Here is a 15,831-nt window from a genome sequence, read left to right as displayed (position 1 = left end):
TTCTCCTGCCTCAGCCTCCCAAGTAGCTGAGATTACAGGCACGTGCCAAAATGCCCACCTATTTTTTGTATTTTTAGTAGAGACGGGGTTGCACCACGTTGCCCAGGCTGGTCTTAAACTCCTGACCTCAGGTGATCTGCCCAGCTCGAACTCCCAAAGTGATGGGATTATAGACGTGAGCCACTGTGCCTGGCCCTGGCTTTTCCTTTTTTAATCTTCATATATTCTGAATCACATATTTCAAATTAAAAAACAAACCTTTACACACTTCTCCTGAATATCATTTCTCTGGGAAGCAAATTTGAGTTGTGGTTTTTTACCATCCATTCCAGATTCTTCATGTTTCACTTTGCTAAGATGATGATCCGAAATCCAGTCCATGAAGACAGTTAAAAGTTCATAAACTTGCCCATTAAGTGGTACCTATATGTCAAAAATTAAATCATTTATTTCAGTTCACAACTTCATAAAACTTCAAAGACAAACCTTAAATTTGTTAAGTAATAAGAATAATTTGACTAAAGTAATTCACTAAAATGTGTTAAGGACAGAGCTTCTCCAAACAAACAAAAGAATTCCAAATCAAACCTCCCCAACCTGCCTGGCGCAGTGGCTCAAGCCTGTAATCCCACCACTTTGGGAGGCTGAGGTGGGTGGATCACCTGAAGTTCCCTAGGAGTTCGAGACCAGCCTGTCCAACATGGCAAAACCTGTCTTTACTAAAAATAAAATTAGCTGGGCATGGTGGTGCATGCCTGTAATCCCAGCTACTCGGAAGGCTGAGGGAGGAGAATCACCTGAACCAGGAGGTGGAGGCTGCAGTGAGCCGAGATCGCACCACTGCACACCAATCTGGGCAAAAGAGCAAGACTCCATCTCAAAAAAAAAAAAAAAAAAAAAAACACCAAAAACCTCCCCAACTAATATTAAAAACATGTTAAATGACAACTGAGAGAAGGCAAGAAAAGTCATAATCAGGAAGTTGGAATAACTGTACCTTATTACTAAAAGAAAACTTTTCATAAAAATTCTTTATCCAAGTTTGATAAGATGGAAAAAAAGTAAAATTAGCCTTAACTTAAGAGCATGAATCACCACAATTAAAAGACTCTAAAAAAAATTAATGGTTTCCAGAGCTAAAGAATTTCCACTATGAAACTTATCTTTCTCTTCTCACAAAAATTGTTACTTTGTCTTTCCAGTATATCATTCAATACACATATGAACATTTTTTTCCTAGAAATCTTGTCCTCTGACAGCCTACCAAAATGAAAAGTAAAATAACAAAGTAATTTATAAATTTAATTAGACTAAGTATTATTACAAAACACATTTCTAATTTAATTCAATTTTTTTTAATAAGATACCACTACACATATCCACCTTAAGGAGGGAACTATGTTAAATTTATTTTTTTAAAAATCTGCAGGCCAGATGTGGTGGCTCATGCCTATAATCCCAGCACTTTGGGAGGCAGAGGCAGGTGGATCACCAGAGGTCAGGAGATTGAAACCAGCCTAGCCAACATGGTGAAACGCTGTCTCTACTAAAAATATAAAAATTAGCCAGGCGTGGTGGTGGGCGCCTGTAATCCCATCTCTTCGGGAGGCTTGAACCCAGAAGGCAAAGGTTGCACCACTGCACTCCAGCCTGGGTGACAGAGTGAGACCCCATCTCAAAAAAAAAAAAATTAAAAATATTAATAAATTAAAAAATAAAAAAACAAAAAAATTCAAAGACAGAGAAATATAAAAGCAAATTAATAAATAGGCAACATTAAGCCGATGGCAATCCACACAATCAGAATGACTAAAGACAAAATGATAAATAGTAGCATTACCACATTATTCTGAAGAGCAATTTTTCACTTTCTCAATTTTTTTCAAATAGAAACTAACTCCCTTTAGATGAAAACTTCGATTATCTTCAGTCCCTGAATATAAAGTCTGTACCTTTTCAATTTACTCCAATTTTCTCAATTTATAAAGAACTAGAAAATTTATCAAAATATCAAAATGATCAAAGCCCATAATAAGATACTACTACACACCCACTGGAAGGGTCAAAATGAAGAAAACTGAAAACACCAAATGTTGACAAGGTTGTGGAGCAACCAAAACTTTGATACACTGTTAATGGGAGTGTATCATTACACTCCCATTTGTACACAAAACAGTACAACCAATTTGGAAAACTGTCAGTTTCTTAAAAACATACATCTACCTTTATCGACCTTATGACCCAGAAATTGTAGTCCTGGTATATATCCAAAAGAAATGAAAACATACATCCATAAAAACTCTGTACACCAATATTCGTAGCAGCTTTATTTATTGCAGACAAAAACTAGAAAAAGCCCAGGTGTCTATCAACAGAAGAATGAAGGAACAAACTCTGATACAGTCATACAATGAAATACTATTGAGCAATAGTAAGGAACAAACTACTGATACACTCATAATTATGCTGAGAAAAGCCTTACACAAACAAGTACACACAATACAATTCCACTGACCAAATGTCTCAAACAGGCAAAACTAATTTCTGCAAAACTTCTGGCAGAAAAGAATGACCAGGAAAGGGTATTAGAGAACTTTCTAGGATAGTGGAAAGTTCTATATTCTAGGATAGTGGAAGTATTCTGTATTTGGTTATAGACAACATGAAATATTTATCAAAATTAATCAAACTTTACACTAAAGGATTTCTGCATTATGTTACCATATGTAATTTATATCTCAAATTTTAAAAATTCTTAGGGAAAAAAAGACATATGGAAATCCATTCAGGGATGGGTTGTAGTCTTGACTGAAATATAATAGCAAATGCTTGTGGAGTGTCAAAACATACTAAGCAATAAAGCCATTAATGATGTGTCAATGATACGTACCTGAAACACTGCTGAAATATAATAGTTTTGTTTTCACAAATGAAAGTATATTTTAAATATTCTTGAGATATTTCCCTATTAAAAAATTATTATGGTGAATCCCTTCCATAGCAAACATTCCAAAAAGAATGTTTGCTAAATCAAAGAGAAAAGATTAAAGCACAAGAGAAATCTTCCTGGCTTTCCATTGGAGAAATTTTCTTTTTTTTTTTTTTTTTTTTTTTTGAGACGGAGTCTCACTCTGTCGCCCAGGCTGGAGTGCAGTGGTGCAATCTCGGCTCACTGCAACCTCCGCCTCCCAGGTTCCAGCAATTCTCCTGCCTCAGCCTCTCGAGTAGCTGGGACTACAGGCGTGTGCCACCATGCCTGGCTAATTTTCTGTATTTTTAGTAGAAACGGGGTTTCACCATGTTGGCCAGGATGGTCTCGATCTCCTGACATCGTGATCCGCCCATCTCAGCCTCCCAAAGTGCTGGGATTACAGGTGTGAGCCACCGTACCCAGCCGAGAAATTTTCAATCATATCAAATCATAATTCAAACTTACCTTGTAAGTTTTTGAAACTGGTGCTTTTTCTTGTTTTAAACTTTTCATTTCATGAACAGCATGGGAACTTCCTTTCAATCTCTGTATTGTCATAAACTCGTACTTCCTCTGCAACAGTATATATGCGTGAATTAAAGAACAATTGTATCTAAATGAGTAAACTCAAAGGTAATCATCTAAAAACATACTTCTGTCTGTAGAGAAGAACAGGCAACTTACCTGTAAATTATCTAAACGAGCTTGAACTCTTTTAGCCTGAATGTCTATCTTCCTGTTTTCTTCACTTGCTTCATTTAACTAAAGGGTAGAAAAAGTTAGATATTTCAATATACACCTTCAACTGGTTTCATACTAAGGGTTTCCCAATCTACTATCTAATCTGGTTGATATTACTAACCAATGTAACAAAACAGAGACAGCATTCATGATTAACTTAGATCACAACTGAAGTTGTCGTTTTTCCCTAAAATATTAATGGTTTGTAAGATCATTTACTTCATTTTATGAAAAATGTACAAGACTCCAGATGTCTTAAAAGCATATACATATATTTTAGTGAAAATGTTTTTATTAATAAGTACACTGTTATCTGAACTATAACACATATAAAGAAAAGTATAAAATCCTAAGTATGCAGTACAATGAGCTATAACTGGGATTGCATTACTGGGACTATGTGTATATGTGTCTGTGTATATACTGATATGTATATATATATGGAAGAACTGACTTCCTATATATGGAAAGGAAGAATATTGAGTCTTCCTATCCATGAACATATCTTCAATTTATTTAGGTTTTATTTTCTTTTAATAATGTTTTGTAGTTTTCAAGTAGAGATGTCTTGCACATCTCTCTTTAGATTTATTCCTGGGTATCCAATTATTTTTTTATTATATTACTTATGGTATCTTACAATAAAATTTGTGATATATATACACCATGAATAGAATACTATGTGGCCATAGTAAAGAATGAAATCATGTCTTCTGCAGCAACATGGATGGAGCTGGAGGTCATTAATCCTAAGTGAAATAACTTAGAAACAGAAAATTAAATACTGTATGTTCTCATTTATAAGTCAAAGATAAACAATGGGTACACACATATGGACATAAAGATGGAAATAACAGATACTAGGGACTACAAAAGGGAAGAGGGGAGAGGGGTAGGGGTTGAAAATTAACCTACTGGGTACAATGTTCACTATTTGAGTGAAGAGTACATTTTAGAAGCCCAGACCTCACTGTTACACAATATATCCATGTAACAAAGCTGCACATGTACCCTCTGAATCTAAAATAATTTTCTTAAAAAATGAAAAGTGGCTTTTTGAAAAAATAAAAAAACCAACAAACCATGAGCTAGACTAAGAAAAAAGAAGAGGCTGAGTGCAGTAGCTCACACCTGTAATCCCAGCACTTTGGGAGGGTGAGGCAGGAGGATCACTTGAGCCCAGTTCAAGACCAGCCTCAGCAACACAATAAGACCTCATCTCTACAACAAAATTAAAAAATTAACTAGAGGTGGTGGTGCATGCCTGCAGTCCCAGCTACTAAGGAGGCTGAAGCAGAAGCGTGGTTTAAGCCCTGGAGGTTAAGGCTACATGTAGTAAGCCGTGGTCATGCCACTGCACTTCAACCTGGGAGACAGAGGGAGACAGTCAAAAAAAAAAAAAAAGAGAGAGAGAAAGAAAGAAAAGGGAGAGAAGAAATAGTAGCAAGGGAAGGAAGGGAAGGAAACAGAAAAGGAAGGCAGGGTTAGGGGGGTAGGGAAGGCAGAGGGAGGGGAAGAAGGGAAGAAGGAAAGAAAAAAGAAAAAAAAAAAGAAAAGAAAAAAGGAGAAAAGACCCAAACAGATAAAATCGGAAAAATCGGAAACAAAAAGGGAGACATTACAAGCAGTACCACAGAAATACAAGGATCACTAGAGACTACAGAGATCATTATGAAACAACTATATGCCAACAAACCGGAAAACCTAGAGGAAATGGATAAACTCCTAGGCACATATAACGTAAGACTGAACCAAGAAGAAACAGAAAACTAGAACAGACCAATCATAAGTAACAAGATTGAATTGTAGTAAAAAGTTTCCCAACAAAGAAAAGCCCGAACTAAATGGCTTCACTGCTGAACTGTACTTTTAAATTCACTCAATGACTTCACTGCTGAATTAAAACTTTTAAAGAACAAATACCAATTCTCAAACTATCCCAAAAAACTGAAGGGTAGAGAATTCTTCCAAACTCATTGTACAAAGCCAGCACTACCATGATACCAAAACCAAACCAAGACACAACAAGAAAACTCCAGGCCAATATTCCTGATGAACATAGATGCAAAAATCCTCAACAAAATATTAGCAAACCAAATTCAACAACACACCAAAAAGATAATATACCATAACCAAGTGAGATTTATCCCAGGGACACAGGAAGGCTCAAATATGCAAATAAAAAAATGTGATAATCACGTTTTAACAGAATGAAGAGTATAACAGAATGAAATATAATTACCTTACGATCATTTCAATAGACACAGAAAAAGTATTTGATAAAATTCAACAACATCTCTTCACAGTAAAAACTCTCAAAAAATTAGGTACAGAAGGAATGTACTTCAACACATTAAAAGCTATATATAACAAACACACAATTAACATCATACTGAACAGGGAAAAGCTGAAAATTTTTCCTCTAAGAACTAGAACAAGACAAGGATGCTCATTCTCACCACTCTTGTTGAACATGGTACTAGAAGTACTAGCCAGAGTAATTAAGCAAGAAAAAGAAATAAAAGACATCCAAATTGGAAATAACAGGCTGGGTGTGGTGACTCATGCCTGTAATCTCAGCAATATGGGAGGCCGAGGCAGGCGGATCACCTGAGGCCAGGAGTTCAAGACCACCCTGGCCAATACAGCAAAACCCCGTCTCTACTAAAAGTACAAAAATTGGCCAGATGTGGTGGCACATGCCTGTAATCCCAGCTACTCAGGAGGCTGAGGCAGGAGAATTGTGTGAACCCAGGAGGTGGAGGTTGCAGTGAGCAGATATCGTGCTGCTGCACTCCAGCCTGGGCGACAGAGTGAGACTCCATCACAAACAAACAAACAAACAAACAAACAAAAATTGGAAATGAGTCAAATTGTCCTTCTTTGGATGACATGATCTTCAATGCAAAGAAACCGAAAGACTCCACCAAAAATTTCTCAGAACTGATAAATTTGGTAAAGTTGAAGGACACAAAATCAACATACAAAAATCAGTAGCATTTCCAAACACTAACAACAAACTAACTGAAAAAGAAAGAAAGAAATCTATCCTGTTTACAATGGCTACAAAAATAAAATAAAATAGCTGGGAATAAATTTAACCAAGGAAGTGAAAGATTTCCACGATGAAAACTATAAAACACTGATGAATGAAACTGAAGATCACACACACACACACACACACACACACACACACACACACAACATTTCATGTTCATGGACTGGAACAATTAATACTGTCAAAATAACCAAAGTCATCTACAGATTCAACATAATGTTTATTAAAATACCAACAACATCCTTCACAGAAATAGAAAAAAATTCTAAACTGTGTATGAAATCATGAAAGACCCCAAATAAGCGAAAGCGATCCTGTGCGAAAACAACAAAACTGGAGGCATTACACTACCTAAACTCAAAATATACTACAAAACTGTAGTAACCAGAACAGCATAGTATTGGCATAAAAACAGACACATAGACTAATGGAACAGCATAGAGAACTCAGAAATAAATCCACACATTTACAGCCAACTGATTTTCTACAAAGGTGCCAACAACATTAATAAGGGAGATGACAGTCTCCTCAACAAATCATGCAGGAAATGGATATCCATATGCCTAAGAATAAAACTAGACCCCCATCTCCCATCACAGACAAAAATCAACCCAAAATGGATTAAAGACTTTGAAATATAAGACCCAAAACTATGCAACTACTAGAGGAAAAAATGGGAAATAGTTCACGACAATCGCCTGGGCAAAGATACTATGGATAAGACCTCAAAAGCACAAGCAACAAAAGCAAAAACAGACAAATGAGATTGGAAACAATAAAAAGAATAATGATACAACCTGCAGAATAGGAGAAAATATATGCAAACTATTCATCCAACTAGGGTGAAAATCCAGACAATACAAGGAACTCAACAGCAAAAAAATAATAATCCAAATAAAAAATGGGTAAATAATCTGACTAGACATTTCTCAAACAAAGGCATACAAACAGCCAACAGGTATATGAAAAAATGCTCAATATCACTAATCATCAGGTTAATGCAAATCGAAACCATGATCAGGTATCAATCTCATCCCAGTTAGAAAGGCTATGAAAAAGACAAAAAGTAATAAACGTTGGTGAGGATGTGGAGAAGGGAAACTCTTTTACATTGTTGGTGGGGATATAAATTAGCACAGCCATTACGAAAAACACAAGTATTCAGGTTCCCAAAAAAACGAAAACACAACTACCATATGATCCTGCAATACCACTTCTGGGTATATATTCACAGGAGAGAAAATCAGTATATTGAAGAGATATCTGCACTCCCATGTTTACTGCAGCAGTATTTGCAATAGCCAAAGTATGGAAAGTAGCCAACCTATGTGTCCATCGATAGATAAATTTATGAAGAAAATGTGGTTATACATTTTCTTTATAACCACATTTTCTTTATACATACACAATGAAATACTGTTCAGCTATGAAAAAGAACAAAATCTTGTCATTTGCAGCAACATGGATGAACCTGAAAGACCTTACCACACACTTATGTTAAGTGAAATAAGCCAAGTACAGAATGATAAATACCACATGTTCTTACTCATGTGGAAGCTAAAAAACAAGTTGATCTCACAGAAGTACAGAATATAATATTGGTTACTAGAGGTTGGGATGGCTGTGGAAAGGAAGGAATGTGGAGAAGTTGGCTAACAAACACAAAATTAGAACTGGATAGGAGGGGCTGGGTACAGTGGCTCAGGCCTGTAATCCGAGCACTTCGGGAGGCCGAGGCAGGTGGATCACTTGGTTTGAGACCACCCTGGCCAACATGGTGAAACCCCATCTCTACTAAAAATACAAAAATTAGCCAGGTGTGGTGGTGGGCGCCTGTAATCCCAGATACTCGGGAGGCTGAGGCAGGAGAATCGCTTGAGTCCAGAAGGCAGAGGTTGCAGTGAGCCGAGATCATGCCACTGCACTCCTGCCTGGGCATCAGAATGAGACTCATCTCAAAAAAACAAAACAAAACAAAAAGAAGAACCAGATAAGAGGAATAAGTTCTAGCTTTATAGCACTACAGGGTAACTACAATCAACAATTTATGGTATATTTTCACATAGATAAAGAGAGGATTTTGAATATTTCCAATACAAAGAGATGATAAATGTTTGAGCTGATGGATTAGCTAATTACTGTGATCATTACACATTACTGTATCAAATATCACTGTACCCCATAATTATGCATAATTATGTCAATTAAAAATAATTTTAAAACCCCATTCAATGGAGTTCTTAAATTCAATTGATGTATTTTTTAGTTTTCAAATTTCAATTTAATTCCTTTCCATAGACTTATTATATAGGCAAAAATGGACCTATGCTAGGAATTCTCTAATGAAGTTGTCAATCTATTTTTCTACTTTCTTGAACATATTAATCATTATTTTAAAGTCATTGCCTGTTAAATTCCAATATCTGGATCACTCGCAAGTATGCTTATATTCTCTGGGGTTTTTTTCTTCATTCTCAGTTATGCAATTCTGTCTTTTGACATGCTTATTAATTTTGTATAGAATGAAAGACATATTTTCCTCTGCTAGGCATTTAAACTGAGGAGTAAGCACCTTAATCTGATCAGGAACTGCACTTAATCAAGGCCAGGTTTCAGTTTAGGAAAGTTCTGTCTCCCTCTAATTCACCCAGTCCCAAGGCACAATGCTGCTCCTTTCAACTGAGATCCTGGGGTGTTCACTGGGACTATCTCCCTATGATGAAGCTTGAACATTAATCCTTGCCTCCTCAGCTTGGCTAGACTTAATGAGAAATGCTTTTAAATTATTAGAAAATGTATATCCAGTGTTAGCATAAATTACTATGTAAGTCAGTCACAGAAATAACATATCTTTTTCTTCAGCAATTTCAAAGTACATGTTATTCATCTAGCCAGGAGCTGGCTAAATATGCCCATTGCTTGTTTTTATGAATACAGTCGTTTTGGAACACAGCCACGCTCGTTACTTATTGCCTATGGCTGTTTTCGCATTACGATGGCAGAGCTGGGTCACTGAAAGAGAGACCACATGGCCTACAAAGCCCAAAGTACTTACTATCTAGTCCTTAACAGAAAAAGCGTGCTGACCTCTGATCTAATCTTAACACAGAAACCATAAAAAAGCATTCTGCCAAATTTTTTCAGTTTGTACACATTAGCTCATAAATCCAATTATCAATAGGTCCAAATATTTAATAATCCACATATCCACCCCAATTACCACACACTCATGCAACTACATGCAAAATTATTAAGGATTACAGAAACCTAAGAGATAGGTATGGGCAACAGTTTATCTATGCTAGGAATTTTTAAAATCCTCACAAGAGAGTGGTAGAATGAGACTGTAATGAGAAAGAGCAATCTCTCCATGGATAAAGTGGGATTCCAAACAGACAACAGGCTGTCAAATTCATAAGTCTAATAGTAACAGCCATAAATGAAATGAGGAAGCTAAAGAATTAGATCAGGTGAGAAAAAGGGTACCTATGTATCACTGCCAAGGAGGAGGATCACAACAAGTAGAGATTAAAGGGAAACAAAAGCAGAAACAGAAAAGGACAGCTGGCAAAGGAACTCTAGGAGAGTCTGAGGCTTAAGTTACATAATCCATACAGATTCCCAGCCCAATGCTTTCATTTTCAAAGTGACGGGGTTTACTCCAATTTCTGCTCCAACATCTACTCCCCACACAATCTAATATATACATAATCATTCTCTTGTCTCTCTTTAACATACTCCTTTACTTTCACATCTTTCTGCCAAAAACTGGCAGATGGAAGGAAAAAAATAGACATAACTCACAAAACTATTTATGTTATGCAACTCTGGTATTATATATTAATCTAAATTACAATTTTTTTTTTTTTGAGACAGTCTCGCTCTGTCGCCCAGGCTGGAGTGCAGTGGCACAATCTCGGCTCACTGCAAGCTCCGCCTCCTGGGTTCACGACATTCTCCTGCCTCAGCCTCCCGAGTAGCTGGGACTACAGGCGCCCGCCATCACGCCCAGCTATTTTTTTTTGTATTTTTGGTAGAGACGGGGTTTCACTGTGTTAGCCAGGATGGTCTCGAACTCCTGACCTCGTGATCCGCCCACCTCAGCCTCCCAAAGTGCTGGGATTACAGGCGTGAGCCACCGCGCCTGGCCTGCAATACTTATATAAATAAGTATACTGCAATGTGATACCAGTTTATAACCATGAGAACATGAGCAATGTGAAGGTCTGAGTCTAGCATGATGCCTAGGATATAATAGATACTCAAAAATAAATGAATGTTAAATAAGTAGTGATAAATAATAAGTATTAAAGCCAGAGATCAGTACCTAAAAATGTAATCAGTTCTCAGGTTATCAGGTTTTTTTCTTTTGTTTGTCAGTTGGTTGCCAGAACAAATAAAGAGAAGAGACCAAAGAGCTAAAGAATACTTTATTTACATTTGGAAGTATTTTAAAATAAAGCTAACAAATGTAATCCAAATTTTCTCTAGCTGAAACGTGTTCTAAGGCTGACTTTAATTTGTTATATATAAAATATACTTCTTAGAATGTCTTATGTTCAGTATATATTAAAACAGGTCTTACCTGTTTTTTTAAGGTATCATTCAATTCTTTCAATGCATCAAAAGAGGACCTCAGTCTCTTGGTTTCTTTATTCTTTTCCTTAAGAACTTCGGTTAAGTGTTCAACTTCTGCATCATGCTGCTAGGAGGAGAAAAAAAAAACTCTCATCTAAAACTTGTAAGGACTGTATATCACTAATACTATGGAACGTGAATTAATTACAAGTAAGAACTCCTTCAATCACAAAAACTTTAATCAGTGTATGCAAGCACAAGTGACTAGTGTGGCAAGTAATTTATAAAAACCATGCAATCTACCAAGATAACAACAAAACATCAAAGGCATTTACAACATACTTATTAAAACATATTAGCATTTACAAAGTAGCAATGAGTCTATTTTCTGCTTCTGCTCAGAAAAATCCACTCACACAAACTCATGGAAATATTTTCTTTGACATCATGGAATAATAAAACAGTAAAGAATTTCTGATACTCTTCAAGAGATAAGCTATTTATGGCTTTATAAAGTGTATAATTTACATTACCTTTGAGAAATGAAAGAAATCTTTCATAAAACCAACTAATTTCTTGTCCTCATAAAGCAGCTAAAATTTTTGATGCCTGCTTTTCATCTCAAAATATGTTAGATACATAATAAAATTTCTTAGCCCCAAACTATTTGACTCTTCTTAATCAGTTCTATAAATAATTCAAATCAACTTCCCCTCTAATTACATTTAAATGGGATAGCATGTTTTAGATTTTAAATGTGAATACTTAATAGTTTCACCTTTCACTTTCAACTTACTTATAAAGCTTTAAAACAAGTTTCTACAGGAAATCAAAAAATTGAATTAATTCCCTTCTTCCAAGTAGTGATATAAATACGATGAAAATAAGGCAGTTATCCTTATACTTAATAAAAATAGATACACAAATCTAAAGAGAATCAAGAATAAGACAAAAATGGAGAGATCAGAGAATCTAAGCATTCTTTAGCCCTGTGAAAAAAATCCAATATTCTAAGAAGTTAATCTTTGTATGACTTTATTACTATATTGATTCCTTAAATAACTTAGGATATAGTCACAAATACAGTTATTTTTAAAACTAATATTTTCATTGTCCAACTTTTTCCATATCTAAAAGATACTAAAAACATATGCATTCCATTTCTAGCACAGCAGGATAAGCTCAATACACTCTTCTCCCACTGATTATAGCTAAAAGCCCTAAATAAACCATAAAACAACTAACTGACAACTGTGAAAAGAAAAAAGGGGAGGACATTGTGATGGGAGAGAAAACTTGTAGAAGCAACCCTCAAGGGTAAAGTTTCCTGCATTTTTGTTTTTGCTCTTCTCTCAACATTTTGCCTCAGGGTGGGTCCCAGACATGGAGAAGTAGAACAAAAACTTCCACTAGCTGGGCACAGTGGTGCACATCTGTAGTCCCAGGCACTCAGGAGGCTGAGGGAGGAAGATGACTTGAGGGTGCAGTGAGCTATGATGACGTCTGTGCATAGCCACTGCGCTCCAGCCTGGGCAACACAGCAAGACTCTGTCTCTAAAACAATTAAAAAAAAATTTTTTTTTAATTTCCACTAAAGCTCTAAAAAATGTCCACTAAAGAAATGAGAGAAAACCAGTCTTCCTGGCAAGATAATCAGGAAGAGGGGCCTCTATGAGCCAGAGTGTGGGGAGAATCCCGCAGAAGAGAGACTCAAACAGAGGATCCTCTCACTCTGGTGTTTACGAACCTGTACAAATTGGGCTCAACTTTGAGCCGCTCAGGCGGGCACAGGACAGACCAAAAGCAGTAGAGCAAACGCTTGGAGAATGGAGCTCAGTTTAAAACTATTACCTAAGTCTTGGCTAACACTTTAATGCCTCTTTACCTGCACAAAAAACACCCAGAGCAGCATAGCAAAAGCTTTGAGAAATGCATTAGGATTTTAAACTGTTACCCAAGTCTCAGACCAACCTTTAAGAGGCACAGGCACAAGACAACTCCACAGCAACATTGCAAAGGCTTTGAAAGCAAAGTGGGCTTCATCCCTGGGATGCAAGGCTGGTTCAATATACGCAAATCAATAAATGTAATCCAGCATATAAACAGAGCCAAAGACAAAAACCACGTGATTATCTCAACAGATGCAGAAAAAGCCTTTGACAAAATTCAACAACCCTTCATGCTGAAAACTCTCAATAAATTAGGTATTGATGGGACGTATTTCAAAATAATAAGAGCTATCTATGACAAACCCACAGCCGATATCATACTGAATGGGCAAAAACTGGAAGCATTCCCTTTGAAAACTGGCACAAGACAGGGATGCCTTCTCTCACCACTCCTATTCAACATAGTGTTGGAAGTTCTGGCCAGGGCAATCAGGCAGGAGAAGGAAATAAAAGGTATTCAGTTAGGAAAAGAGGAAGTCAAATTGTCCCTGTTTGCAGACGACATGATTGTTTATCTAGAAAACCCTATCGTCTCAGCCCAAAATCTCCTTAAGCTGATAAGCAACTTCAGCAAAGTCTCAGGATACAAAATCAATGTACAAAAATCACAAGCATTCTTATACACCAACAACAGACAAACAGAGAGCCACATCATGAGTGAACTCCCATTCACAATTGCTTCAAAGAGAATAAAATACCTAGGAATCCAACTTACAAGGGATGTGAAGGACCTCTTCAAGGAGAACTACAAACCACTGCTCAAGGAAATAAAAGAGGATACAAACAAATGGAAGAACATTCCATGCTCATGGGTAGGAAGAATCAATATCGTGAAAATGGCCATACTGCCCAAGGTAATTTACAGATTCAATGCCATCCCCATCAAGCTACCAATGACTTTCTTCACAGAATTGGAAAAACCTACTTTAAAGTTCATATGGAACCAAAAAAGAGCCCGCATCGCCAAGTCAATCCTAAGCCAAAAGAACAAAGCTGGAGCCATCACACTACCTGACTTCAAACTATACTACAAGGCTACAGTAACCAAAACAGCATGGTACTGGTACCAAAACAGAGATATAGATCAATGGAACAGAACAGAGCCCTCAGAAATAACGCCGCATACCTACAACTATCTGATCTTTGACAAACCTGAGAAAAACAAGCAATGGGGAAAGGATTCCCTATTTAATAAATGGTGCTGGAAAAACTGGCTAGCCATATGTAGAAAGCTGAAACTGGATCCCTTCCTTACACCTTATACAAAAATCAATTCAAGATGGATTAAAGATTTAAACGTTAGACCTAAAACCATAAAAACCCTAGAAGAAAACCTAGGCATTACCATTCAGGACATAGGCGTGGGCAAGGACTTCATGTCCAAAACACCAAAAGCAATGGCAACAAAAGACAAAATTGACAAATGGGATCTAATTAAACTAAAGAGCTTCTGCACAGCAAAAGAAACTACCATCAGAGTGAACAGGCAACCTACAACATGGGAGAAAATTTTCACAACCTACTCATCTGACAAAGGGCTAATATCCAGAATCTACAATGAACTCAAACAAATTTACAAGAAAAAAACAAACAACCCCATCAAAAAGTGGGCGAAGGACATGAACAGACACTTCTCAAAAGAAGACATTTATGCAGCCAAAAAACACATGAAAAAATGCTCATCATCACTGGCCATCAGAGAAATGCAAATCAAAACCACTATGAGATACCATCTCACACCAGTTAGAATGGCAATCATTAAAAAGTCAGGAAACAACAGGTGCTGGAGAGGATGTGGAGAAATAGGAACACTTTTACACTGTTGGTGGGACTGTAAACTAGTTCAACCATGGTGGAAGTCAGTGTGGCGATTCCTCAGGGATCTAGAACTAGAAATACCATTTGACCCAGCCATCCCATTACTGGGTATATACCCAAAGGACTATAAATCATGCTGCTATAAAGACACATGCACACGTATGTTTATTGTGGCATTATTCACAATAGCAAAGACTTGGAACCAACCCAAATGTCCAACAATGATAGACTGGATTAAGAAAATGTGGCACATATATACCATGGAATACTATGCAGCCATAAAAAATGATGAGTTTATGTCCTTTGTAGGGACATGGATGAAACTGGAAACCATCATTCTCAGTAAACTATCGCAAGAACAAAAAACCAAACACCGCATATTCTCACTCATAGGTGGGAATTGAACAATGAGATCACATGGACACAGGAAGGGGAATATCACACTCTGGGGACTGTGGTGGGGTGGGGGGAGTGGGGAGGGATAGCATTGGGAGATATACCTAATGCTAGATGATGAGTTAGTGGGTGCAGCGCACCAGCATGGCACATGTATACATGTGTAACTAACCTGCACAATGTGCACATGTACCCTAAAACTTAAAGTATAATTAAAAAAAAAAAAAAAAAAAAAAAAAAAAAAGCTAAACTGAGATGAGAACCACTGCCCAGAGGAGGTGAGAAAAAACTGAGGCCTGGCCAGGCACGCCTGTGATCCC

General features: G+C 36.8%; 2 protein-coding genes across 48 annotated transcripts in view; both read right to left on the bottom strand.

Moving 5' to 3' along the window:
- RANBP2 (RAN binding protein 2) overlaps positions 1-15,831 on the bottom strand; it is a 1,122,820-nt gene that overhangs the window by 1,025,938 nt on the left and 81,051 nt on the right. The window lies entirely within an intron of this gene.
- The window catches only part of CCDC138 (coiled-coil domain containing 138), a 98,736-nt gene that overhangs the window by 69,122 nt on the left and 13,783 nt on the right, over positions 1-15,831 (bottom strand). For 32 of the 47 annotated variants that reach the window (NR_147236.2, NR_147237.2, NR_130121.2 and 29 more), the window contains 4 exon segments: positions 11,356-11,475; positions 3,656-3,733; positions 3,437-3,544; positions 259-423 (listed from right to left, as the gene is read on the bottom strand). Coding sequence is in view for 41 of the 47 variants with exons in the window: in NM_001351557.1 (NP_001338486.1) it covers positions 259-423; positions 3,437-3,544; positions 3,656-3,733; positions 11,356-11,475 (471 nt within the window). In the remaining 6 variants the exon portion in view is untranslated. 47 annotated transcript variants of the gene reach the window in all.

Source organism: Homo sapiens, chromosome 2, assembly GCF_000001405.40.
Source record: "Homo sapiens chromosome 2, GRCh38.p14 Primary Assembly".
Classification (NCBI taxonomy): Eukaryota; Metazoa; Chordata; class Mammalia; order Primates; family Hominidae; genus Homo; species Homo sapiens.
The sequence above is the reverse complement of the archived record's forward strand: the minus strand, read 5'-3'. Positions and strand labels throughout refer to the sequence as shown.